Source organism: Homo sapiens, chromosome 15 (assembly GCF_000001405.40).
Source record: "Homo sapiens chromosome 15, GRCh38.p14 Primary Assembly".
In the NCBI taxonomy this organism is placed as follows: domain Eukaryota; kingdom Metazoa; phylum Chordata; class Mammalia; order Primates; family Hominidae; genus Homo; species Homo sapiens.
This window is the reverse complement of record NC_000015.10, coordinates 76,972,369-76,998,500: the sequence shown is the minus strand read 5'-3', so window position 1 is coordinate 76,998,500 and position 26,132 is coordinate 76,972,369. Positions and strand designations below refer to the sequence as shown.

The 26,132-nt window shown below is 50.5% G+C and overlaps 1 protein-coding gene, 1 long non-coding RNA gene and 2 pseudogenes across 17 annotated transcripts in view, besides 3 other annotated features; 2 read left to right on the top strand and 2 right to left on the bottom strand.

Annotated features, from left to right (window-relative positions):
- Positions 1-3,821, bottom strand: part of PSTPIP1 (proline-serine-threonine phosphatase interacting protein 1) — a 42,796-nt gene extending 38,975 nt beyond the window's left edge. For 14 of the 15 annotated variants that reach the window (NR_135552.2, NM_001321136.2, XM_011522168.4 and 11 more), the window contains exon 1: positions 2,892-3,375. Coding sequence is in view for 13 of the 15 variants with exons in the window: in XM_011522168.4 (XP_011520470.1) it covers positions 2,892-2,927 (36 nt within the window). In the remaining 2 variants the exon portion in view is untranslated. Of the gene's footprint in view, positions 1-2,891; positions 3,376-3,685 lie in introns of those variants that run through there. The other variant, NM_001321137.1, reaches the window with a different exon arrangement.
- Positions 3,191-3,380: a silencer, noted in NCBI's record as "silent region_6694". NCBI's record gives its function as "represses an Ori minimal core promoter by ATAC-STARR-seq in GM12878 lymphoblastoid cells {active_cell/tissue: GM12878}" and the evidence as "EXISTENCE:reporter gene assay evidence [ECO:0000049][PMID:35858748]".
- Positions 3,621-3,670: an enhancer, noted in NCBI's record as "active region_9885". NCBI's record gives its function as "activates an Ori minimal core promoter by ATAC-STARR-seq in GM12878 lymphoblastoid cells {active_cell/tissue: GM12878}" and the evidence as "EXISTENCE:reporter gene assay evidence [ECO:0000049][PMID:35858748]".
- Positions 9,970-10,129: an enhancer, noted in NCBI's record as "active region_9884". NCBI's record gives its function as "activates an Ori minimal core promoter by ATAC-STARR-seq in GM12878 lymphoblastoid cells {active_cell/tissue: GM12878}" and the evidence as "EXISTENCE:reporter gene assay evidence [ECO:0000049][PMID:35858748]".
- LOC105370904 (uncharacterized) lies at positions 15,274-25,597 on the bottom strand. Of its 2 annotated transcripts, none has more exons than XR_932492.2 (3): positions 25,533-25,597; positions 24,570-24,746; positions 15,274-15,517 (listed from the first exon to the last, which is right to left on the bottom strand). It is a non-coding gene; the product is annotated as an uncharacterized LOC105370904 (long non-coding RNA). The 2 variants fall into 2 exon arrangements; XR_001751618.1 differs by lacking the exon at positions 25,533-25,597 and adding an exon at positions 25,313-25,509.
- Positions 17,974-19,672, top strand: KRT8P23 (keratin 8 pseudogene 23; annotated as a pseudogene).
- On the top strand, positions 21,291-21,586 carry RN7SL278P (RNA, 7SL, cytoplasmic 278, pseudogene; annotated as a pseudogene).
- Positions 25,598-26,132: the final 535 nt, after the last annotated feature.

Below are 26,132 nucleotides of genomic sequence, written 5' to 3'. Positions count from 1 at the left end.
AAATTAGAGTTCATAGGACCTGAGTAAAAGCTAGGGGACATCTCCTAGGAGTGTAGTATATGAGCTTTAAGGAAAGCTCTTAGGGAAATCATCTTTGGCTCCTGAGAAACCACTTTTGCTTCCTCCCTTACTGTGAGCTAAAGCCAGAAACAGCAGGGCTGGCTCCCCTCCTCCGCCCCGTGTTCTGTATGGGTGAGGTTGCCCAATAACTGAGGGGCTGTGATATCAAACATGATCTTTCCAGTTTAGCCAAAGTAGGGTCCCTCCACTCTGTCAGCTCTGTCACCCAGGCTAGAGTACAGTGGCACAATCTCAGCTCACTGCAACCTCTGCCTCTTGGGTTCAAGCTGTTCTCCTGCCTCAGCCTCCCAAGTAGCTGGGATTACAGGAGCATGCCATCACGCCTGGCTAATTTTTGTATTTTTAGTAGAGACAGGGTTTCACCATGTTGGCCAGGCTGGTCTTGAACTCCTGACCTCAAGTGATCCATCCACCTTGGCCTCCCAGAGTGCTGGGATTACAGGCGTGAACCACTGCACCCCGCCTAAAAACCAGTCATTTCTAAACAGTGTGCTGGCAGGCTGAAGGGTTTAATGACAGTGCCTTGGGCTGGGGTGGGGGAAGGCCCAGACATGGGCCAAGCTGGCTGGGCTGTTCCTAATATAACACCTGTGGCCAGAGTAGTGTGCCTTTTCTGTTTTACAGATTTGTCTACAAATGAAGCTTCAGAATATTGTTCTAGCCACCTTGTCTGATTTTCTTACCCCTCTGGGAGATAAGAGGGGTTACCTCTTATCTTACCCCGAAGCCAAAAGATCCAGTGATATGTCAGATAGACAGAGGGATCCTGCAACAACACAAGTGCTAAAGCCAGCCTGCCAGGGGTTTAATCCCAGCAGTGTGACCTTGCGCAAGTCTCTTAATATCTCCGTGCCTCAATTTCCTCATCTGAATAAGAGAGATAACAGTAGCATGTGTTTGAAGGATTGAATGAGTGAATATGCATACATCTTGAGAACAGCGCCTGGCACATCTTTCGTGCTCAGCAAATGTTAGTTGTTATGCACTGGGATGGGCTGAGCATCAGGAAGAGGTATTAGAATCCAGAGCCCTGGGGCAGGTGATGCCTACAGTGACCTTTCGGGGCATCGGCCCAGACTCAGTGTGAGAGGTTCCCACTGGCTACTTCTCTCCCCTTCCTGCTCTGGCCTTCCCTAGGGAAACTATATGCCCGCCCCAGGCTCAGGGAGCCAGACACAGAGGAGACAAGGCACTTGGAGGCCAGGAAGCCCAGAGGTGCGACGAGCACAGAGTGTGGGCAGGATGCCGCTCAGGAAGCTCCACAGGGGCTGGCTGCTTGCTTCTGCTGCGGCTGCCATACCCTGCTCCCTTATACGCCACCCCTACCTGTGCCCAGATCCTGCCATGGAGGCTGCTCCTTGCCCAGCTCTGCCCTAGGGAAGGCAGGCCCAGGGGCTCTAGGACTGGACAGAGGTCTCAGTGATAAAATAGTCAAGGGGTCCTGGCCTGCCCTGGGCTACAGAGTGGCCTGGGTTTCCAGGCCCTACCCCTTCCCCCAACTTTGCACACCAAGGCAGGGCAGCTAGGTGGTGACTCACATCCCCCATCCCCCAGGGCTCCAGCTGCCAGCCTGGGCCCTGAGCATCCTGGTGCCTGGTCCTCCGGATGGGCTGAGGCAGCTCTGCCTCCATTGGCTTCTCTGGGCTGGGCCCACCCTGTCTTTGTAGAGATGGGGAAACTGAGGCCCAGAAAGGCACAAGGTGCCCTCCCCACGTGGGGTCCTTTGCCTACTGTACAGTCAGAGCAGAGGAAGCAGAACACTCACACGCTGGCCACAGGCCCCAAGTGGAGCCGGCCGGAAGGGAAGGAAGGCCTGGCTCCATAGCTCTCATCCTCCTGGCTGCAGCCCCAGGAAAAGGCCCGGGGAGGGCAGGGCTGTTGGCTGGGGCTCAGCCGGCTGAGCCGAGGGCCAGAGCGTCCTCTTCGGGGTTGGAGGCAGCACCCCGGGACAGCCACATTCCCCAGCTCCAACCAGAGAGGTCTCAGTTTTTCCCCAGAGCCCTGGGCACAGCCAGAGCTGAGGGGCAGAGGGGTAGTTGAAGGACAGCTGGAAAAGTGCTGAGATGACCAGGGGTCCAAGCTGGGCTGCAGGCTACGTGGCCCGGGCCAAGCCACTTTACCTCTACCACTGGCTGGGCGCCCTTATTTCATGGGGGAAATGACTTGATTTAAGCCCGTGTTGAATTTAAGAAAGTAAGCAAGCCATTGCCCACCTGGCTGCCTCCTTGAAGGACCCCTAAGGTCTGCAAGGGACAAGGGGCTGGGTGAGGGGAACAGAATTACCATTTGGAGTGAGGCAAGGTGCTGGGGGCTTTAGTGCCTTGGATCCCCTTGCTGATCCAATGCTTTAGTTGGTGTGTTGATTTCTATTTTATCACCATTATATAGATGGAGAGACTGAGGCTTGGAGACAGAAATGACTTGCCCAGCCTGTAACAGAGCCAAGACCTGAACTCAAGTTTGTCTGGTCTCTAAATCTGTGACCCCTCCTTTGCTGCCCCACACATCCTCCTCAAGCCCCCACCCATGTGTTACCCTCTTCTGAGGAGCTCCTGCTGTGGGGAGAGGTCTCCCAGAGGAGAAAACACACGGGGCAGCAGAGAGGAGGACGCTCATTCACGGAGTCCACTTGCGTTCCAGTCCAGAAGGGGTGGGGGCCTGGGCCACCTCCATGACAATTAAGACCAAGAATCAACCACTATTTTATGAGAAAGCTCCCCTCTCGGAGCCGCATCCCATCACCTGCATGGAGATTTCAGCCTAGCTCTGCCCCCTCCACTTGTTCAGTGCCCCCAACCATCCTCACTCACCCAAAAGGCATCTTTGAACTGCAGCTGGGGCATCATCCTCAGGCGTCTGCCGCGGCAAAGCTCACTCTCCTGCCACAGGCTGGCCTGATGGAGGGCCAGGCGCCAGCAGCAGCGTCCCAGTCCTGGCAGGGCTGGCCCAGGCCCCCCTTCCCGGCCGGCGCCGTCTGCAACACTCAGAAGGCAGCCACGAGCCAGAGAGGAGCTTCTGAGGGGAGGAAAAAGCTCAACCTGTTTTGTTTGGGGCTAGAATCAGCAGCAAAATGAGGAAGGAGTGGAGCTCAGTGATGGGAGGGCGGGCCCTGGTGTCCAGCCCAGCCCCTCACCGACCCTGCGGTGATGGAGGACACAGTCTGGGACCCAGGGCAGGGAGCAGGGATGCCAGCCCTGGGTGGGAGGCAGTGGCCAGTGGAAGAGGCAGGCTGGAGCTCGGGCCGGGCCAGGCAGGCAGGCAGGCAGGCAGCCCGAGGCCTGCGCAGGAAGGTTTGTGCAACCTCCCCCGGGGCAGGCACAGGGCCCTCGCCCACAGGAAGTGGAGTTGCTGTGCTCCCCTGTGCAGCCCCGCCTGCCACCTGCCATCCTGCTCCTGCCTCTGCTTGCCCCCTCCCGAGGTGCGGGCTCACTTTATTCCAGAGGCCATATGCTAAGGGAGCTTGAGGCCCACTGACAGTGTGGCCAGGAGGGGCCCAGGAACCCCAGGTGTGTCACCCGCCAGCCAGTCCAGCACCCTTCCAGGCTGGGCCCAGAGATGCCAGACTCCCCACCCCGCACTAGCAAGTCATTCTGGAGGGGCTTACCCAGGTCTAGGGCATCTGTCATTCATCAAACCCTGGCTGCTCTGGGACCCAAACCAGGTCCTGCCCTCAAGGAGCCCATAGTCTGGGAGCAGACACAGCTGTGCTCTGGGGGGCTGTGAGCACACAGAGGCAAGGTGAGCAGGCAGCAAGATGAGGGAGAACAGCCTGAGGCCCCGGCACTGCCCCCACCACCACCACCGCCACCACCGCAAGTCTCCAGATTAGACGCTGTTTGGGGCAGAGAACCCCCTTCTGAAGATGGAGGCTTCCGGCTCAGTGAATGGGAATGGATGGAGAGAGAAACAGGATTATCAAGGCACAGAGTGGGGTGTTTGGAAACCCAGTCTGAGGCCCAGTTTTTGTTTAATTTTGACCCCACCTTTCAGGGGCTGAGGGACCTTAATAGACCCCCCAACTCGCTGAGCCTCAGCTTCCTCATCTGCCACACCCAGTCTTTGGAAAGTAGACGGTGTCGAGAATATTTCTGGAATTTCCAGTTTGGTGGGCAGGTGCTGGGGGCACTGTGTGGTACCACCTTAGGAAGAGCCCTGGACTAGAGCCCCAGCCCCAGCCCTGAGACGCCACGCCCTGCCGGCTCAGCAGAAGATGCAGCAGGAAGTCCTGAGCCCAGGGCAGGCTGGCAAAATGGGGTGAGTCAGGGATTGTCCGCAAATCACCACCCTCACTGATGTCTGCCTTACAGCTGACGGGGTGATAAGATGAGAGCTGCTGCAGATGAAATAGTTGAGCTCCCAAGTGCCCATTATGCATGCCCAGGGTTTAGAGAGAGGGGGCACACCCAGGCTCTGAAATAGCCACCCAAGAGGAAACACTTTGGGGAGGATTGCAGAGCAATGGGACTGCCCCCAGAAGGCCCTCACCTCCAGAAACCTTGGATTTGAGCTAATCTTTAATCTGTAAGGCGCCCCAGTCAGGTTTTTTGTTACTTGCAGCTGAAGACAATTAATAGTGTAAAAATCCCCTTGAACTTTGTAGGCCATAGAGTGAGCCAGGCTGCACCTCACCTCCCAATGGCACCACCACCTCTGATAGCACTGGCTCAGCCTCCCTGAGCTCAGTTTCTCCATCCATCAGATGGGATGATGCCTCTAGGTCTGGAGCAGACTAGAGACCCTCTGTTAACAGAAGGCTCCTGCCTGCTTATTGGCAGAAATTTTTACAGCTGGGCTCCCTGCCCTGCCTCTCTAGGTGTCCTTCCCATCACCTCCCAGAGACTTCTGCTCCAGCCAGGCCTCTTCCCTCTCCCTGGAGGCACCTTTCCCACTCCCACCTGCTCTGTTCCCAGCCTCCCTTCTGGCAAGCCTTCCTTGATCTTCCTTACCTGGGCAAATCCTCCCACCCTCAAAGCCAACCTCAAGGCTCCCACACATGAGGCCTTCCTTTCCCAACTGTACCTGTCCAGCCAGGGCAGCCCCGGATGGAGGGCCATGCTGGTGACGGGCTGGAGCAACTGGGGAAGGAAGTAATGTGAGGAACCTCTGGAGAGACTCTGCAATTCTCTACTAGAGAGGCCTTCCTCCTCCCCTCCCTTCCACCCTTACCTGTTGCAGGTCCCCAGGCTGGGCGACCAGACAGCCAATTCGGCTTTGGAGTACTTACCCAGCACCGGGTACATCATTCTGCTTTTCACACGGACCACCTCAGTTACACTGTCATTATCCCCACTTTACAGAGGGGCAAACTAGTGATTAAAGAGTGTAAGTAACGCACCCAAGTAGCAGGCAATAAGCAGAAGGCTGGGCTTTGGTCCTAGATCTGTCCGAAGCCAAAGCACACGCTCTTAACTTCCACAGTTGTCTTTTACTAACAGCCCTCTATTCAAAAAGCGTTTCATTGTTCCTTTCTCCAGTTCTACCTCGAGACCCTCTCACCCAAGTCAATAAAAGGAAAAACAATCTAGGGAAGCCACCGGGGCTGATGGTGCCATAGGAATGAGAGGCCAGCCTTTAGCACATGCTATTCTGCATCACTGTGTTATTCGCATCAGTTGAGGATGCTTTTGGCTGCAAAGAACATAAACCAGAGGGTCTGACACAGAGGACGTGTGCTGTCATCTACACAACGGGGCTGGAGGCAGGGCAGCCTCCAGCTGTGGTACATGAGGGCTTCAGCTCAGTCTCTCTGAGTTTCTCTTGCATTTACGATCTTCCTCCTTGGGCTGGAGGCCAAGGAGCTGCAGCAGCTCATCTACAACTCCAGACACAGCCACAAGCAGAGAAAGAAAAGGACACCTGCCCTTGTGTCTCATTTTCTCCAAAGCCCCTGCACCCTCCCTTCTGCCCAGCTCCCCAGGAGACCTTCCCTTGTGTCTCCTTGGCCCTAGGTGGGTCACGTGCTCATACTTCCCCATGGTTGGCCTTGCGAATGGGCAGCCGGGGATGCCGAAAGCCAACCACGTGACCACCACAACCTTCTCCTCAGCCCAGGCACACAAGCACTGCTGAGCACCAACTCCTGCAGGGTCCTGCTGGGACCGGGGCCTCAAGGGGAGGCAGACTTGGTTTTTGCTCTGAGGGGCCTAGAGACTGACAGACAGGTTCTAGGGAGTTCTTTCTCCATAAGGAGTGGCTCAGAGCGGGTGAGACCAGAAGAAGATATTGTGATGACTTTTACAGGAATGAGGTCTGGTTGGGGCAGGTGCGATGGGGCTTGAGTGGATTGGTGGGATGTCAGGGAGATGGAGGAGCAAGACTGAGATGTCTGAGTGCCCCTCAGAAAAGAGTACTGTCTTAGGGGGCCCCTATTCACACCAGCCCCACCCACACCCAGGCCCAGGCCCTTGGGGAGAGGAATCCATCCCTGAAAATCACCGCTTTTTAGTGACTGTTCCAGCTGCTTCAAAACAATTTGCCTTGAGGTCTGTGCAGTTGTGCCTCAGGCCAGGCTGTGGGGGCATACCCCTCCCAGGCAGAGCCCCTGCCTGTTTTGCCTGGTATCTGAACACATCTGCTTGAAGAATTCAAGAAGCAGTAGCTACAAGGATTGAGAATAAAATGCAAAATCAGTTTTTATAACATTTATTGTCACAGCCCCCACCACTGACTGGCAGGACTCCGCTCCTGAAGACACTTCATCCATCCCTCTGAGCCACAGAAACAACAAAACCAGTAACAACAGCTGCCACAGAAGGAGGATCAATATTTACAGGACCTCCATCACTTTCACAAGCTTGATCTCACTGATTGCTCACTGCCTGGACAGCTACATAATTTGCGAGTCCAGTGCAAAATAAAAATGTGAGACCTCTTACTCAAAAAGCAGGGACAAAATTGCCGTTAAAGGTACTAATCTATAAAACTTGTTTCTTTACTGCAGTCTCTCTCTCAACCTGGAATGGTGTTTTTGATTTGTTATTTAACGTTACACTCCCTTGGGCATGGGAATATCTGTGGGACAACTTGCCCCGCCCCACCCTCTGACTTGACTCAGTTCTGTGTGAAATTCACCAGTTGCTGGACTTCTCCTCCTGTCAGCCACCACGCTGATCTGCATTCTGCGTTCCCCAGCGGAGGTTGGGGAAGTCAAGCCAGGCATTGCCATTTCCCATGGACCTGCCTCACCAACCCACAGCGGACAGGCAGTCCCCAGGGGTGTTGCAAAATCCAGGCCAGGATGCACTAGGAACCAGGGTCAGAAGTGAGTGAGAGGCTCAGCCCCCTGAGTCGCCTGTTGAATTTGCCATGGTGTTGCCAGCCTGGGGCAGGGGCCACATTGCCATGGCCAATCCTCAGATGCTACCAGGTGTGCCCTTGACCCGGACTGTCCCCATGCCTGCACTCAGGTCTCTGCTGGGGGCAGAGTGTGGCAGTGGTTGCTAGGCAGAAGTGGAGAAGACTGAGAACAAGTCCAGGGGAGGCAGTTGGAAGCAGGACCACAGGAGCCAAGGCTCCAAGTCCTTGATGTATGCTTCATTGTCCCACCAGACTGTACTTAAGAAAAGCAAATTCAAAAATAATGTGATTAAGAATTCCAAGACAGCAATCTCAGAGCATTAGACCCCAAGTACAATTTGCTTACACGAGTTGTACATCTATGAAACCAACCCTGCTCACTCCTGTCTGCTCTCTACACAGCAGAGTGACATTTTCAGATCCACATTTGGTCATATCAACGTCCCACTGTCACCTTGCCATGATTTTCCATTACTCTCAGGACAATGGCCATTGCCCTTACATGGCCTACAGACCCTGCATAATTTGGTCCCAGCCTACTCTTCAAAACTTCAACTCCCATTATGCCTCTCTCAATTTCTGATACTGCTTCCTGGACCATCTTTCAATTCCTCCATTCTGCCTCATTCTCTTCTTTCCCGGGTCCTTCACACATGATCACCCCTCTGCCTGGAAGCTTCTTCCCGTTCCATCCTAGACCCTGCCTTGGCCCAGCTAACTACTCCTTATCCCTTGGCCCTCTTATCAAATGTCACCTCTTCAGGAAAGCCTTTCCTGACCAATAAATGGATGGACAAATGGACAAAATGCAGGCAAGATGGAAAGCAAATAAACATCTTTTTTCTTTTTTCCTTTTTTTTTTTTTTTTTTTTTGGGACAGTGTCTCGCTCTGTCGCCCAGGCTGGAGTGCAGTGACACAGTCTTGGCTCACTGCAGACTCTGCCTCCCAGGTTCAAGCAGTTCTCCCAGCCTCAGCCTCCCAAGTAGCTGGGATTACAGGCATGCACCATCATGCTTGGCTAATTTTTATATTTTTAGTAGAGACAGGGTTTCACAGTGTTGGCCAGGCTGGTCTCAAACTCCTGACCTCAGGTGATCTGCCTGCCTTGGCCTCCCAAACTGCTGGGATTATAGGTGTGAGCCACTGCACCTGGCCGAATAAACACCATTTTGAAGGAAGTTCAGCCAAGTTCTCAGGGGCTGGAAGAGAAGACGTTGTTGGGGGAATAGCTCTCAGAGGTGAGGCTGACACCAAGCTGGAGGGCGGGACTGCACTCTGAGGGTCCTAAGATTCTAATTTGTTATCCAGGAAGAATCTAAAGCGAGAGCTTCCAGCCTTCTGAAGAGGGGCAGGGGCTGGAAAGAAGAGGGAGAGAAGGAGGGTCTGAAAGCTCTTTGGTGACATTCGAAGAGCCAGGAGGCCCTTGCCATGAATTTCATTTGGAGATGGCATTGCCACTGGTCCAAGGGGTAGGGCAAGTGACGCACGCTTCTCCCTTCTGCAGGGGAGCATCTGTCCTGCAGGAGTAATTCTCAACCTGCCATCAGCTTATGGCCAGAAGGGCATTCATGAGTCGGCCATTTAGACCTCGGTGGATGCACTGTCATGACGCTGCCCATGGCTGTAGGGTTGTGCACCCATCCCATGGCTGAAGTGGGATGTTCCAGCACCTGGCCATGATGGTTCACTATTGCTGGGGGAAATACCTGTAGGGTCCCTCCAGGTGGCCAGAGGCACATGCCTACTGTACTGGGGCAACCACTGTCCACCCCACTTACCCTGTCCCAGATTGGAACAAGCTCCACTGCAGCACACCCACCAGCACTGACTGAGCCTTCCTGTCTGGGAACATGCAAATGAACAAGCTCAGCCCCTGCCAGTCTGGTGAGGGAGGCAGCCTAGGAAGGGAAAATGTGCTGTGCGCAGACAACAGAGAAAGGCTGTTGAGGAGCCTGGCCTGGGAAGTCCTCCCAAAGGAGGGGAGCTGGGTCTTGATTAATGGGAAAGAGCTCACCCGTGAGGCAGGAAGGGAGTTCCAGAATAACGCTAATAGTCTACTAGGGCTGTGCTGCATCAGGCTCTGCTGTAAGCACTTCCCATGCCTTATGTATCACTTAATCTTCCCAACAACAGTGTGAGGCATTACGGCCACATTCAACAGATAAGGAACCTGAGGCTTAGACAGGTCAGTTAACTTTTCGGAGTCCCATCGCTAAAAAGGGTCTTTCCTCCCCAGAGTGTGGGGCTGGCAGTGAGGGGCCAGGGCCTGGGGCAGAAACAGGATGAGGAAGAAGGGAAAAGCAAGTCCCCACTGAGGAGGAAGTGCAGAGCCCATGCGGGGTGGGGGTGTGGCGCTCAGATGGAGGCTCCTCTCCTCTGACTCCAGGAAATATCCTTGCCCCAGAGTCCTCCACTGGGGCTGAGGGTGTGGCCTTTGGCCTTCAGGATGTGATACAGTTTGTTTTTCAGTTTGCCCCCAGGGACAGCAGTTGCAAAAACTAAGGCCTCTTCCCACTCACACAGCTCGCCTGAGTTGACGAGGAGCTTTCAGGTTTACTAATTTGCAGCCACAAGAGTGTGACTCTGAGTTTCCAAGCATTATCAGTCGTCAGAAGCCGAGTGCCGGTCAGGATTCTTGAAAGACAGCAAAGAGGTGCAAAGTGGCCCTTCGGGAGGTGGCCCAGGAACTGGTGGGCATGGGGAAGGGGCCTCAGTGAGTCCCAGGAATCCACTGCCACCCGATCACTGGTCAGAGGACGGAGGACTGCAGTGATGGAAGAGCCTGCAGGGACTATCTGGAGGTGCTCAAACAGCACAAAGTGTGCCTACCAGAAGTGGGACTTTGTTAAAAAAAAAAAAAAAAAAAAAAGCAAAAGGCCAAGTCCCAACCTTGGCCTACTGACTGGGTGGGGCCAGGGAGTATAGATTTTAGGTTTCGTAAGTGAGTCAGTCATACACCTTGGAGGAGAACTCCTGCTATTGCCTTACTTTCTCATTTTACAAATGGGAAACTGAGGCCCAATAAGTGGGGTAGCAGGGCCCAGAGGGGGACCAGTAGAATGATCTCACTGACAGGGAAGGAAAGGCATAACCATCTCCCACCCCCCAACCCCTTTTCTAGCCTGTTTTGTTTTGTTTCCATTATGGCAGCTGTCTCTCAAAACAGCTTCAAAAATGTGTTTCTAGCATCCTCTCCCCCCTTGGGTTGGTTTTAATTCAGGTGGAAAATGACTTGTTCACAGTAAAGCAAAGCTTGATTTCAGCCCAGCTGGTGTTTAATTTTCCCTGAAAACCTAGGATTCAGAGGCAGGAGACCCCAACTTCAGTCTTGGCTGGGCCGGAAAATCAATAGGCAGAGACATGTGGTGGGCCCGTGTGCAGGCAAAGGGAGCAGCATGTGCTGAGGCTCGGAGTAGGGAAGCCCCAGCCTGTGCAAGGAGTGGAACTTGGGGTGGGGGGGGCGGGGGTAGATGATCCCTGGAGTCAGAGTTGGAAGAGGTCCAGCCTCACCTCACTGAGACTCAGTTACCTCACCTGGAAAACAGAAATGATGAGCCTACATATTTAAGCAGGTTACTTGTTTAAAGCTTAAACAAGATTCTGGCCAGCCGCAAGGGCTCACGCTTGTAATCCCAGCACTTTGGGAGGCTGAGGTGGGCGGATCGGTTGAGCTCAGGAGTTCAAGACCAGCCTGGGCGACAAAGCAAGATCCTGTCTCTACAAAAAAAATTAGCTGGGCATGATGGCATGTGCCTGTAGTCCCAGCTACCTGTGAAGCAGAGGTGACAAGATCACTTGGGCCTAGGAGGTTGTGGCTGCAGTGAGATGTGTATAATTGCACCACTGTACTCTAGCCTGGGTGACAGAGTGAGACCTTATCTCAAAAAAAAAAAAAAAAAAAAAGAAAGAAGGAAGGAAGGAAAGAAAGAAAGAAAGATAGATAGATACATGCCTACATCAGTGTTTGATAACATGAAAAGGCACCTAGTCCAGGTTCACCCACAGTAGACTCACAACCAGGGTGAGTCTCTGACTCTGTGAGTCTGAGACTCTCAACAGTAGACTCACAGTAGACCTGACAGTGTTGCTGCTGACAGCCCTGTCTGCTCAGCTGGAAAAGCCTCATTCCCAGGACTTCAAATTGTAGAACCAAGCTGAGGAGCGGCTGGAAGCCAGAGTAGCAAAGAGACTTCCCAGCCCCATGAAAGCCCACATCCTCAGGGTGCAGGCACTCGCTCTCTAGCTGCCTCCCAAGCCCCGCCCTAGTAGTACCTCCTCAGGTCATCTAGAAGAGGCAGGCTTTCTCATGCTTCTTTTTTTTTTTTGTAAATTTTTATTTTGGTATAATTTTAAATTCAGAGAAAAGAGTACAAAAAACTCCTGTCTGTTTTACCCAGATTCATCAGACTGTTTAAATTTTACTTCAACTGCTTTATTATTCTCTATTTTTATGTATGCATACTGATTTTTTTCTATTAGTTGGGTAAGTTGCAGACATGGTATCCCTTCACCCTTAAATTATTCAAGTGTATATTTCCTAAAAATGAGGAAATTCTCTTATATAACCACAGTACAGTTTTTTAAATTAAGAAATTTATCATTGGCCAGGCACGGTGGCTCACACCTGTAATCCCAACACTTTGGGAGGTGAGGCGGGCAGATTGCTTGAGCTCAGGAGTTCGAGACCAGCCTGGGCAACATGGCAAACTCCTATCTCTACAAGAAATTAGCCAGGCATGGTGGCATGTGTCTGAAGTCCCAGCTACTTGGGAGGCTGAGGTGGGAGGATTGCTTGAATTGGGGAGGTGGAAACTGCAATGAGCCTTGATCATGCCACTGCACTCCAGCCTGGGTGACAGAGTGAGACCCTCACTCAAAAAAAAAAAAAAGAAGAAAAAGAAGAAGAAATTTAACATCAATATAAGGCTATTGTCTAATTTGCACTCCATATTCAAATTTAATTTCATTAATTGTAATGTCCTTTAAAATTTTGTGTTTTTTTCTCTTGGTCTCCTTAATTCTGTGACAGTTCCCCAGTCTATCCTTGACTTTCATGACCTTGACACTTTGGAAGATTGCAGGCCAGTTGTTTCATAGAAAGCGTCTCAATTTGGGTTTGTGTCAAGTGCTTTCCTCATGATTAGACTCAGATGATGTGTTTTTGGCAAAAGATACCACATATGTGATGCTGCGTCTATCTCAGTGCATCATAACAGGAGGCACGTGATGTCAATTTGTCCCACTATTGGTGTTGTTAACTCTGATCACTCGATTAAAGTAGTGTCCACCAGTTTTCTCCACCTTAAAGTTACTGTTTTTCCCTTAGTCATTTGTAAGTATCTTGTGGGGAAATCCTTTGAGACTATGTAAATATGTAGATCATGTTTCTCTTTGCATCTTTGCCCACTAGTTTTAGCATCCGTTGGTGATTCTCCAACTTCATCATTCCATCTACATTTATTATACCGTAAGGAAGAATTTTCCCTTCTCCCAATTATTTATCCATTTAATTATATTAGTGTGGGATTGGTAAGTTCTATTTCATCCAATGAGTTATAATCTGTTACTATTATTATTTATTATGATGCTCAAATTATCCCAGATGTGGCCATTGCGAGCCCCTTAGGGTGGCTTCTGTTCCCTTCTGTTATGGCCCCATCATTTATTGAGCACTTCTTTACTTTCTGGCCCAAGTTTTCAGGCTTATCTTGTAAGTTACCTGCCCCTTGCTCTCAAATCAACCTTTCTCCAAGGATCCCTGGTTCGTTTCAGTGGTGAGTCCAGAGCTCTGGCTCTTAACTCATTATTCTTTACCTCTTATCTCCTAGAAATTGTTTGGAGTAGACCTTGAGGAGACAGTTGAGGATTTTTTTTGGTTTGTTTGAGATGGAATCTTGCTCTGTCGCCCAGGCTGGAATGCAGTGGTGCGATCTCAGCTCACTGCAACCTCTGCATCCCGGGATCAAGTGATTGTCCTGCCTCAGCCTCCTGAGTAGCTGGGACTACAGGCACCTGCCACCACACCCAGCTAATTTTTGTATTTTGGGTAGAGACGGTGTTTAACCATGTTGGCCAGGCTGGCCCTGAACTCCTGACCTCAAGTGATCCACCTGCCTCAGCCTCCCAAAGTGCTGGGATTACAGGTGTGAGCCACCGCGCCTAGCCGACACTTGAGGTTTTGTATGAGCAGATGAACCCAGCAACTTTAGCTTATCGCTGGTACTGAGCCCCTATGAGTACCTATGGTTTGGTGGAGCCTAGAGAAACATGCGTCCTTTTATTATTATCACTATTAACAGAAATAAGCATTTTTCCTTTTTTTTTTTTTTTTTTTTTGAGACAGAGTTTCATTCTTGTTGCCCAGGCTGGAGTGCAATGGCACGATCTCGGCTCACCACAACCTCCGCCTCCTGGGTTCAAGAGATTCTCCTGCCTCAGCCTCCCGAGTAGTTGGGACTACAGGCATGCGACACCACCCCCGGCTAATTTTATATTTTTAGTAGAGACGGGGTTTCTCCATATTGGTCAGGCTGGTCTAGAACTCCCGACCTCAGGTGACCCACCTACCTTGGCCTCCCAAAGTCCTGGGATTACAGGTGTGAGCAACTGTGCCTGGTATTTTTCCTCATTCTTACTCACTGAGCCCCCACTCTGTGCCAGGCTGGGAGGAAGCAGCCCAGCTCATCAGGCACTTCATGCCAGGCTGAGGGTTTGGACTTCAAGCTAAGGGAACTAGCAGGGCACTAAAGGCCTTGAAGCCAGATGCATCCTCCTCTTGAGGACTCAGGTCCCATGTCTTTCGGGCTACCTCCTTACTCCTGACTTCAAGGCCTCATGGCCAAATCCCACAGAAATAGGAAAAGAAGGGAAACAATGCTCTTTGCTTTAAACAGAACAACGTGGCACCTTCATCCAGCAGAAGCATATTACCAGGCCCAGGAGCTAGCACAGCAGGAGGGGAGGGAAGTGGTGAAATATGACAAGCCAGATATTTCAAAACTGCCAGGCCAGAAAATCAGGAAGCAATGGACTCAGAGAATCTGACTCTCCTAATTGGGACTCCTTTAGTACAAACACAATGACTTATTTTCCCTATCCACATTTATTAAAGCATCTGTCCAAAGCATAGGTTTGTATTCTCTAAAGTTTGTCTCTCTGCCATGTACAGTTGAGAGGGTGGTTCACTGCTTAAAGTGTGATAGACATGGAGATGTGCAGCCCAGATTCCCCCTTCAAGGAAGGACCTGCTGCTCAGCTGCAGGGAGAGAGGTCATCAGACAGTCTCAGCTTTCAGTTCCTGCAGAGCCTGCCTCCACTGCTGAGGGCCACCTCATCTCAGGTTATGCCGTTGCTGGGGTAGCCTACATCTGGTGACTGATGGTGGCAGGAGTATAGAGGCCCATCCACTTAGATCTGATGCTGGACAACTTTGATGAACACTGCTGGTTTAGCTGAGACTTTGCTGAGCTGCAGCACAGGTCAGCTTCCCTCTGCCCAAGCCTGCTTCCCCGCTCCTTTCCTAGCTGTTGACCACTAATAAACATCACGTACCTCAAATTCTGTCTCAGTGTTTCTGCTTCTGCAGAACCCAACCTGAAACACAAGCGTATCCAGCCAAGGGAATGAGTGAGGTCTGAAAACAAGACCTTATTCTTCTAGCCAAGCAATATAAACATGAGACTTCATCAGCCAAAGCAGGCGACATTTTCTAATCTTCATTAAGGGATGGGGTGAATGGCAGGGAGCCCAAGACAATCCTTGCCCTGCCTTGGGACTCCCCACTGGGCACCTCCCACCTTGGCACTCCTCTCACCCACGCTCCCTCTGTCCACACCCCCTGCCTCCCTCCCCCCACCCCTCCCCCCCCCACTCCTCCCCCACCACTCTGCTCTGCTCTGGCTGTGGTCACTCTCTTTAAGCAAGCCCCCTCCCTCTGGATTTTCTTCCAATAATCCTCCCGAAAGGCTTCCCATTGTTCCAAGAGACTCGGTTACACCAGCACTTGTCTCCTGTCTCCTGCAGAGGAGCTATGTTGCTAGGTTTTTAAACTTATGCGGAGGTCCAGATGGAGGGTTGTCAATTTCTTCAGGACACTGCCAGGCCAGAGGTTGTCCAAGTTCGAAGGACACCCAGGAACTTCTGCAAATGGGTAAACCGGAGCGCAGTAAGGGTGAGGTTCTTGTTCAGGGTCACACAGTGAGCTAGTCATAGAACTAGGCATTGGCTGTCAGAACTTCCTGGGACCCATTCCTGCCCATTCCTCTGGCCACATAGTAGCTGGATTCACCTTATGTCCTGGTACTGAACCAACCCTTCCCTTTGGACCTCATCTTCTGGTCTCGACCTTTCCTGTCCACTCCTCCTCTCCCCGACCAAGCTCTCTCCCTCCCGCTCCTTCCCAGTCCCCTTTTTTTCCTCTCCCAGGCAGCCTGACGATCGCTTCCCCACTCTGTTTTGCCCTCAGAGCCCTTTGCTCACCTTCTCTGGTCTCGGACCTTGGTGTTGGTTTTTGCTTTCTGCCCATCTGTCTGAAGGGATCCTGGGGGCCCTGGCTGGGTCAATGTAGGGACACACATGCCTGGGTTGGTGGGTCTCACTCTGCAGCTTCAGCTTCCAGAGGCCAAACGTTTACACCAGTCCCAACCAAGGAGATGCCATGCTATCGCGATAAACAATTGCTGTGCTCTTCTGTGTGCCAGACCCTGAGCTGTGTGCTGCACATTCACGGGCCTTGGTCCTCACAAAACTGCTTGAGGGTAGTATTATCACTTCCATCACACGGACGAGGAAATGAATCTCAGGAGGATGAGGCCATGTGGCCACAGCCCTGTGATTAGTAAGAACCCCAGAGCCGTGTGATTCAAAACACTCCATGCCCACCTTCTCTTCTTCTGTAACTCCCATATCTCCACACAGCTGCAAGGACGAGGCCATAACTGCGACTGGACACACCAGAAAGCCATCTCAGAAAGTCACTCAGGCCATAAGTATCAAGGGATTATTGAGAGATTTTAAAATGTTCACACACTGTGTCCAGAATTTCCATGACTAAAAATCTACCCCAAGGAAATAAGAATCATGGGAAATAATTCTGTACAAAGATATTTGTAACAGTATTATTTGTCAAAGAAAAAACCTGAAAACGAAACTAAATGTCCAAGCCTACTTCTTACACCTGTAATCCCAGCACTTTGAGAGGCTGATGTGGGCAGATCACTTGAGCCCAGGAGTTTGAGACCAGCCTGGCCAAGGTAGCAAGACCTTGTCTCAAAAAAAAAAAAAATCAAAAAATTAGCTGGATGTGATGTTGCATACCTGTGATTCCAGCTACTTGGGAGGTTGAGGTGGGAGGATCACTTGAGCCCAGAAGGTCAAGGCTGCAGAGAGCCATGATCACACTACTGCATTCCAGCCTGGGCAATAGAATGAGACCCACCCCCCCTCCCCCCGCCAAAAAAAAAAAAAAAACCAAAAACCTAAAAACTATGGCATTGCTTTACAGAAAATACATCACAGACATTGAAAATGTTTACCAAGAGTTTTATAATATTATAGGGCAAATGTTTATTACATAATACCAAATAAAAATAGCAGGTTAGGCTGGGTGTGATGACTGACACCTGTAATCCCAGCAATTTAGGGGGCTGAGACAGGCTTATTGCTTGAGCCCAGGAGTTCAAGATCAGCCTGGGCAACATGGAAGACCCAGTCTCTACAAAAAATACAAAAATTAGCTAGGTGTGGGTGACGTGTCTGTAGACCCAGCTACTTGGGAAGTTGAGGTGGGCAGATCACTTAAGCCCAGGGCAGGGGGTTGGGGAGGCAGTGGGGGCGGGGGTGGAGGCTACAGAGACCCTATCTATAACAACTACAAAAAAAGCAGGCTAACAAAGAATAAATAGCCAAATAAATCTTTTTTTTTTTTTTTTTTTGAGACAGAGTCTTGCTCTGTCGCCCAGGCTGGAGTGCAGTGGCATAATCTCAGCTCTCTGCAAGCTCCGTCTCCCATGTTCACGCCATTCTCCTGCCTCAGCCTCCCAAGTAGCTGGGACTACAGGCACCCGCCACCACGCCCAGCTAAATTTTTGGATTTTTAGTAGAGACTGGGTTTCACCGTGATAGCCAGGATGGTCTTGATCTCCTGACCTCATGATCTGCCCACCTCGGCCTCCCAAAGTGCTGGGGTTACAGGTGTGAGCCACCGCACGTGGCCAGCCAAATAAATCTTAAGCAAAAAGGATAAAGCTGGAGTCATCACACCTCTAGCTTTACCTGACTTCAAAATTTACTAAAAAAATCTATAGTAACCAAAACAGCATGGTACTGGCATAAAAACAGACACATAGATCAATGGAACAGAATAGACAACCCAGAAATAAATCCATGTATTTACAGTCTACTGATTTTCAACAAAGCTGCCAATAATGTCCTTTGGGGGAAAGGACAGTCTCTTTAATAAATGGGTATGGGGAAAACTGGATATCTATATGCAGAAAAATGAAACTAGATCCTTATCTCTCATCATTAAAAAAATTAAATCCAAATTAATGAAAAACTTAAATGTAAGACCCCAAACTAGAAAACTACTAGAAGGGACCTAGAAGCAGCTTCTCTGCTCCTTCTTGAATGTCCACCTGGTTCAGCCCATCTGCCTCCACTCCTGCCTCCACCATGTCCATCAGGGTGACCTAGAAGTCCTATAAGGTGTCCACCTCTGGCCCCCAGGCCTTCAGCAGCCGCTCCTACATGAGTGGGCCTGGTGCCCACATCAGCTCCTTGAGCTTCTCCTGAGTGGGCAGCAGCAGCTTCCAGGGTGGCCTGGGTGGAGGCTATGGCAGGGCCAGCAGTATCGGAGGCATCACAGCTGTCATGATCATCCAGAGCCTGCTGAGCCCCCTTAACCTGGAGGTGGACCCCAACATCCAGGCCATGCACACCCAGGAGAAGGAGCACATCAAGAGCCTCAACAACAAGTTTGCCTCCTTCATCGACAAGGTACAGTTCCTGGAGCAGCAGAACAAGATGCTGGAGACCAAGTGGAGCCTCGTGCAGCAGCAGAAGAAGGCTCGGAGCAACGTGGACCACCAGTTCGAGAGCTACATCAACAACCTTTGGCAGCAGCTGGAGACTCTGGGCCAGGACAAGCTGAAGCTGGAGGCAGGGCTTGGCAACATGCAGGGGCTGGTTGAGGACTTCAAGAACAAGTAGGATGATGAGATCAATGAGCGTGCAGAGATGGAGAATGAATTTGTCCTCCTCAAGAAGGATGTGGATGAAGCTTACATAAACAAGGTACAGCTGGAGTCTGGCCTGGAAGCGCTGACTGATGAGATCAACTTCCTCAGGCAACTGTATGAAGAGGAGATCCAGGAGCTGCCGTCCCAGATTTCCCACACGCCTGTGGTGCTGTCCATGGACAACAGCCGCTGCCTGGACACGGATAGCATCATCACTGAGGTCAAGGCACAGTATGAGGAGATCGCCAACCGCAGCCGGGCTGAGGCTGAGAGCATGCACCAGAGCAAGCATGAGGAGCTGCAGACGCTGGCTGGGAAGCACGGCGATGACTTGCAGTGCACAAAGACTGAGATCTCGGAGATGAACTGGAACATCAGCCGGCTCCAGGCTGAGATTGAGGGCCTCAAAGACCAGAGGGCTTCCCTGGAGGCCGCCATGGTAGATGCCGAGCAGCGCGGGGAGCTGGCTGTTAAGGACGCCAATGCCAAGTTGTCCGAGCTGGAGGCCGCCCTGCGGCAGGCCAAGCAGGACATGGTGCGGCAGCTGCCTGAGTACCAGGAGCTGATGAACGTCAGGCTGGTCCTGGACATGGAAATCCCACCTACAGGAAGCTGCTGGAGGGCGAGGAGAGCCGGCTGGCGTCTGGGATGCAGAACATGAGTATCCAAACGAAGACTACCAGTGGCTATGCTGATGTGCTGAGCTCGGGCTACGGGGGCGTCACAAGCCCCAGCCTCAGCTTACGGCCTGGGCTCCAGCTTTGGCTCTGGCTGGAGGCTCCAGCTCCTTCAGCCGCACCAGCTCCATGGTTGTGAAGAAGATGGAGACCCGCGATGGGAAGCTGGTGTCCTAGTCCTCAGACGTCCTGCCCAGGTGAACGGCCATGGCAGCCCCGCCCAGCCTATCCCTCCTGCGGCTGCCCCAGAGCCTGTGGGGGAGGTTGAAGCCCACCCGCAGGGGGAGTTTACTGCCTGGGGTGTCCCACTTGGCCATGCCTCCAGCTACAAGCCAATTCGATTTTTTTTTCCAAAAGAAAACCTCAGCTAGCTATGCCAAAAAAAAAAAAAAAAAAAGAAAAAGAAAAAGAAAAAGAAAGAAAAGCAAAAACTAAAACTACTAGAAGAAAACATAGAGGAAACACTTCAGGACATTGGATTGGTCTGGGCAAAGATTTAATGGAGACCTCAAATGCACAGGCAACAAAAGCAAAAAATAGACAAATGGAATTAGATCAAACTAAAAAGCTTCTGTACAGCAAAGGAAACAATCAACAGAGTGAAGAGACAGCCTGCAGAATGGGAGAAAATATTTGCAAACTATCTATCTGACAAAAGACTAATATCAAGAATACACAAGGAACTCAAATAACTCAACAGCAAAAAAACAAATAATCTCATTTCAAAATGGGCAAATGAGCTGAATAGACATCTCTCAAAGACATACAAATGGCCAACAGGTATATGAAAAAATGTGTGACATCAATAATCATCAGGAAAATGCAAATCAAAATGGTGATGGGATATCATCCCATCCCAATTAGAATGACTACCATAAAAATGACAAAAAATAACAAATGCTGAGGATGTGGAGAAAGATGTCTTATATGCTATTCATGGAAATGTAAATTAGTACAGCCATTATGAAAACCAGTATAAAGTTTCCTCAAAAATCTAAAAATAGAACTAACATATGATCCCACAGTCCCACTAGAGGGTATACATCCAAAGGAAAGGAAATCAGTATATTGAAGAGCTATCTCCACTCCCATATTTATTGCAGCATTATTCACAATAGCAAAGATATGGAATCAATCTAAGTGTCTATCAGTGGATGAATGGATAAAGAAAATCTGGTATACATACACAGTGGAATACTATCCAGCCAGAAAAAAAATGAAATCTTGACATTCACAGCAATACAGATGAGCATGGAGGACATCATGTTAAGTGAAATAAGCCAAGGACAGGAAGAAAAATACCACATGTTCTCACTCATATGTGGGAGCTAAAAAAGTTGAGTGCGTAGAAGTAGAAAGTAGAATAGCGGTTACTAAACCCTGGGAAGGGTGGGGGATAGTGAGAGGTTAAAGGATACTGAATCACAACTAGATACGAGGAATAAGCCCTCGTGTTCTATAACACCCTAGGATGACTATAATTAACAATTTATTGTATATTTAAAAATTGCTAGAAGAGTGGATTTTAAATGTTCCCAACACAAATAAATGATAAATGGGCTGGATGCGGTGGCTCATGCCTGTAATCCCAGCACTTTGGGAGGCCAAGGCGGGCAGATCACTGAGTTCAACAGTTCAAGACCAGCCTGGCCAACATGGTGAAACCCTATCTCTACTAAAAAGACAAAAATTAGCTGGGGATGGTGGTGAGTGCCTGTAATTCCAGCCACTTGGGAGGCTGAGGCAGGAGAATCACTTGAGCCCTGGAGGTGGACGTTACAGTGAGCTGAGATCATGCCACTGCACTCCAGCCTGGGTGACAGAATGAGACTCCATCACAAAAAAAAAAAAAAAAAAAAAAAAAAAGATAAATGTTTGAGGTGATGGGTATGCTAATTACCCTGATTTGATCATTATGGATCATATACATGTATTGAAATAGCACACTGTATCCCATAAATATGTACAATTACTACATGTTAACTAAAAATAATAATAGCTGGATGCGGTGGCACGTGCCTGTAGTCCTAGCTACTTGGGAGGCTGAGGCAGGAGGATCGCTTGAGTTCAGGAGTTCTGGGCTGCAGTGTGCTGTGCTGATTGGATGTCCACACTAAGTTTGACATCAACAAGGTGACCTCCCAGGAGCGGGGGACCACCAGGTTGCCCAAGGAGGGGTGAACCAGCCCAGATCCAAAATGGAGCAGGTCAGAACTCCCATGCTGATCAGTGGGACTGCACCTGTGAATAGCCACTGAACTCCAGCCTGGGCAACATAGTGAGACCTCATTTCTAAAAAAAATTTAAGAAGAAATAGCAGGTTATAAAATTATACAGAAAGGTAGGTCTCAACCATAACAAAGTGCTCTGCAGTTAAAAAAAAAAAAAAAAAGGAAGCATGACTCTTCAGCAGCTCCACTTCCTCAGGGTTCCCCGTGTGTCATGCACACACCTCTAACAGCAATTTCACTCTGACAGTGTCTCTTTGCCTTGTCTCTCTCTCTCTTTCTCCACTGGACTGTGAGCATTTAGGGTGGGGAGCAGTTGGGTTTTAGTTCTCTTTGATAGAGCAGCATCCAGGACAGAATCTGTCCCTGAGTGGATGCTTAATCCACATCTGTGGAATGAATGAGCAGATGAATGAAAGGAAAGGACGGGAAGGCTGGACCAGATCCCAAGCCACTCACTTCCTTGAAATCAGAGTTCCCCCAACCCAAACCCCACTAGGATTCTCTCCTAAAGCCTTTGGCAGTTTTGTTGCCTGAGAAACAAGAAGGCCCTTCTCAGCAGTTCCCCCATCATCCTATGCCTAGGGACTTGGGGCTGGAGGCCTGAACAGCCACTCAGGAGCAAGCTCTTCATCTATCATTTCCTCTAATCTTCATAGCAATAAAATATCAGAATTGTGATTCCTCATTAACATTTGCAGAAACTAAGCCTCAGGGCTTGAAATTTGCTCAAGCTCTTATAGCTAGTAAGTGGCAGAATTCAAATCTCCCTGTCTCCAAAATCCATATTCTTAGAGACAAGACTGCAAAAGTGACCTTGGACAAGCCCCTTCTCCTGCGTGAACCTTGGTTTCCCCTCTGGGTAATGAGGCTGCGGGTCCTCAGAGGGCTCAGCTATCCATTTCCACTCAGATAGTCCACCATAATAAAATGTCCCAACTCATCCTTCCCCAGCTTCCCTGCGTTACTGGAAGCAGCCTGTAACCTACCGGAATGTAGGACTGCAAGCTTGCCAAGCGAGGCCATGTTCACCTGGCTGGAGAAGAGCTCCTGTTTCTCCTCAATGCTGGCAGAAAGCCCTGGGAGCATAAGAGCACCTTATCTGCAACTCACCTAAACAGGTGTGTATGGGGTTGCTGGCCATTGCCTCACATCCCCCCCGCCTTAACCCCCTGGGTTGCCATCTGAGGGTTGTGGAGGGGCTTCATGCTGGCTTTGCTCAGGTCTTATGGCCAAGAGGCACCAAGAAACACAATATCTCCCCCTGCCCCAGTACACACCCCACCCTCAGGGAAAACCCTTATAATAACAGCCCGCACCTGCAGTCTCCCACCTTAGCCTAGTAAGGTAACCAAGACACGGATGGCAGCCGCATGTTATAGCTGGGGATCCTGGGGCTCAGAAAAAGACAGTAATGTTCCAGAGACTATCCAGCAGTTAAGTGGCAGAGCTGAGACTGAGTTCCAGCCCCCAGGCCAGTATTTAGTGCTTTCCTTCCAGAGCCCATGTTAGTCCAGGTCATGTAGCACATTTATTGACCCCTGCCACAGGCAGGGAACCATGAGGCCAAGGAATGGGCAAGATGCAGCCTCTGCCATTGAAGGGTTACAGTTCAGAGGAGCAGAAGGATAAGGTCTCATTCAGGAGTTAATAAATGAAGATTAATAAGATTACAAAACAAGTGGATGAGGTGTCAGAGCAGGGGGGGTCCTAGTGCTGCCCAGGAATGGCGGGCACAGAGTGGGAGCCTGCAGAGCCTGCTGAATGCAAGGCTGGCTGACTGAATAAGGGGCTGTTTCACTACCCAGAGGGATGCAGGAGGGTGGCAGGGAGGGGGGTTGAAGGAGAGAAAGATAACTGAGCAGAGGTGTGGCAGAGGGATGAGGACCCACAGTTTGACATACGTGCAGGATGCACCTCTGAAAGGATAAATAAAGCTGTAAAAATTCAGTAAGGCCACATTTTTGTACCACTTTAAATGCCAAGCCAAGTATTTTCAAAGATTCTCTGCAGATGAAGGCTGCTGTTATAAAATATGGTTTAGAAGCATTAATTTGGCAGCAACACAGTAACTAATCAGAGAAACAACGGCAGCCCCTGGTGGATATGTGGGCAGGGTGAGCCGGAGGCAGGGAGGCAAATGAGGATGCTGGAGAGGCTGGGCCAGGGCCAGCCAGGGACAATGGGAAGGGAAGAGCTGGTGGGTGACAGGGGCTGGTGTCTGACATCGCCTTCCTCTGATCCAACAGCTTGGCCTCCCTGCTGGCCAGCCTCAGCCCCACCCCATCAGAGGGTCAGCCCTGACCCAAGAGGAGAATAAGAAGGCAGCCAGCAGCCAGTCTCACAAGCATTGCTGGTGGTCAGCTTCCTCTCTGGATGAAGCACATTAACATGGTGAAGCTCCTGGCATGCCCCCTGGCATACAGGACCACTCAGCCCCTAGACCCGGGCTTATATCTTTCAGACCCATAAGTGCCACTTCATCTGGATGTGGGACTCTTCCTCCAGCCTGCCAGAGCTGGAGTTAGGACCCTGAACCCCAAGCTGAGCTACATATGGCCCTGATGCCAGGAGCCACCCGGACCTCCTTGTGGGCCTGTGTCTGTCCTCCTCGTTCTTACTGCAGTTAACAATGCTGTATTTGCTTACTTGATTTTTGTCTCTGATATCCTCCAATGTCAGCTCTTCGACACTAAGACCCACACATCACTTGTTCACAATTATATCCTTCAACTAGCATGGTACCTGACACCTACAGATATCAAAAATGGTTGTGGGATGAACGAGTGACTGTTACCCTCATAGTGGGTGCCCTTACCCAGCCAGGGGTCATGCTTATTTCCTAAGGGTCTGCCACCCCCTCCACCTCCACTCTAGGTTGCCTCAGAGGCACTCACACCCCCATGGGGTCTTACTCACCTCCCCACTCTCCTACCCTAATCTCACTGGACTTGTCCCAGGCTGTCCTTAACCATCAGAGTCATGCCATGGGTTAAGGGCCTAAAGGACAAATAAAAGTCCCTCCCCACCCCATCCTCCCACTACTTACTGTGTGGTGGTGTCTATTATACAGAGAAGTCGTGGTTGTGTCTTTCTGAGATAGGGCCATCCTGGGGGCCACCAAGGAAGGCCCCTGCTCCCCTGCTAGAAGGAGGTAGGAAATGGAACTTCTGGGCCAGGCAGGGTAGAGGAGAGCTCAATCCCTCTTGGTCTGCATTTGGAAAATCTGGAAGAATAGAAGAAACTTCTGGAGCCAGGGGAGAAAGATGGCACTGAGATCAAGGCAGGAGACACCCAAGCTCTGCCCCAAAAGAGTTTTCCAGGTTTGGGTGCTGCCGGGAACAATTTCCATTGTTCTTCCCCAAGCCTTTATCTGAATGGTCTTTACCACCCCCACTGGGCTCTGAGCTGTCGCCTGGCAGCTGCCGTTGGTTCAGGCTGATTCTTGGATGCTGGAGGAACAGCGCCTCCTAGAGCCCAGGAAGGTGGAGCAGCAGAAGTCAGCAAAAGCCCCCTAGACCCCCTGTGTCAGGGCTGCTTGAAGAGCCTGGTGTCACAGCCAGTCTGGACATTTCTGAATTTTATTTAGCCCAAGAAGCCTGAGCTTCCTATGGTGGCTTCAGTCCAGCAGTTAGTGATGCTGTTCCCCTCAGACCCACCCCAGGTGCAGGGGCAGGTGCAGCGATCAAGGAGGCACCACCTCATCCCAGGGTGTCCCTGCTCAAGTCTTCTGCCTGCCCCGCCCTGCCCCAGGCCTCCTCAGTCTTGAGACAAGAGGTGGCTGCTCCCTACCCCGAGCTATGCAGAAGGGGCAAGCTTGGTGTGCAGGACTTTCCAGCGAGTCCTTCGGAGTTGCTGGACCGCTTAACTGGACCTCGAGATAACTTCTCCCAGAGCAGATGGGTGGGGACTGGCGGCTCCTTAGCTGTAACCTTCCTACCCCAAATCCTGTTGTTTCGAGAGTTAATTCTGGAGCCACAGGGAGGATGGGAGGCATTATTGCCCTTCATACCTCCAGAAGTTCTCTTTCAGGCACAGGAAAGGGGTTTTGGCATCTGCCGTGCTTGCAGTTTTCCAGACTGAAACGTCTGTATCAGTCTTATGACTCAGAAATTCTGTTCCTGTGCCTATGAGGAGGGAGCGAGGGGCGGCGGGAGAGTCCGCCGGCCCGGGAGTAGATAAGGAAAGTGGGGTTGCTGCACTGCAAGTACACGCATTATGGATATAATGGATATATCTTAAAATCAAAGTGTTTAATGAGAAAAGTAGGAAACCAAGTGAGATTTTTATAACATAATGCCATTCCTGTAGTTAAAAATACATGCATAGACACGTGCTTATTTTTAGCACTGTGTTATTGCCTCTGGTGTTAATAAAATGAACACATGACTCTCTGGCACCTGTATGGAAAAGACTTAAAATACTTATTTTTAGGATATGAGGTGAACATGTTTTTGTCCAAAATCTGGACATTAACTTCATAGGCAAAGACGATTACATAACATCTCTCTTATGTTAAGGACTTTTTAATCTGGAACTTCTGCATAGTCACATAGCTGGAAGGAATTTCGGTGGTATTTTCAATAATTCAGTACTATTTTTTAAATGTGCT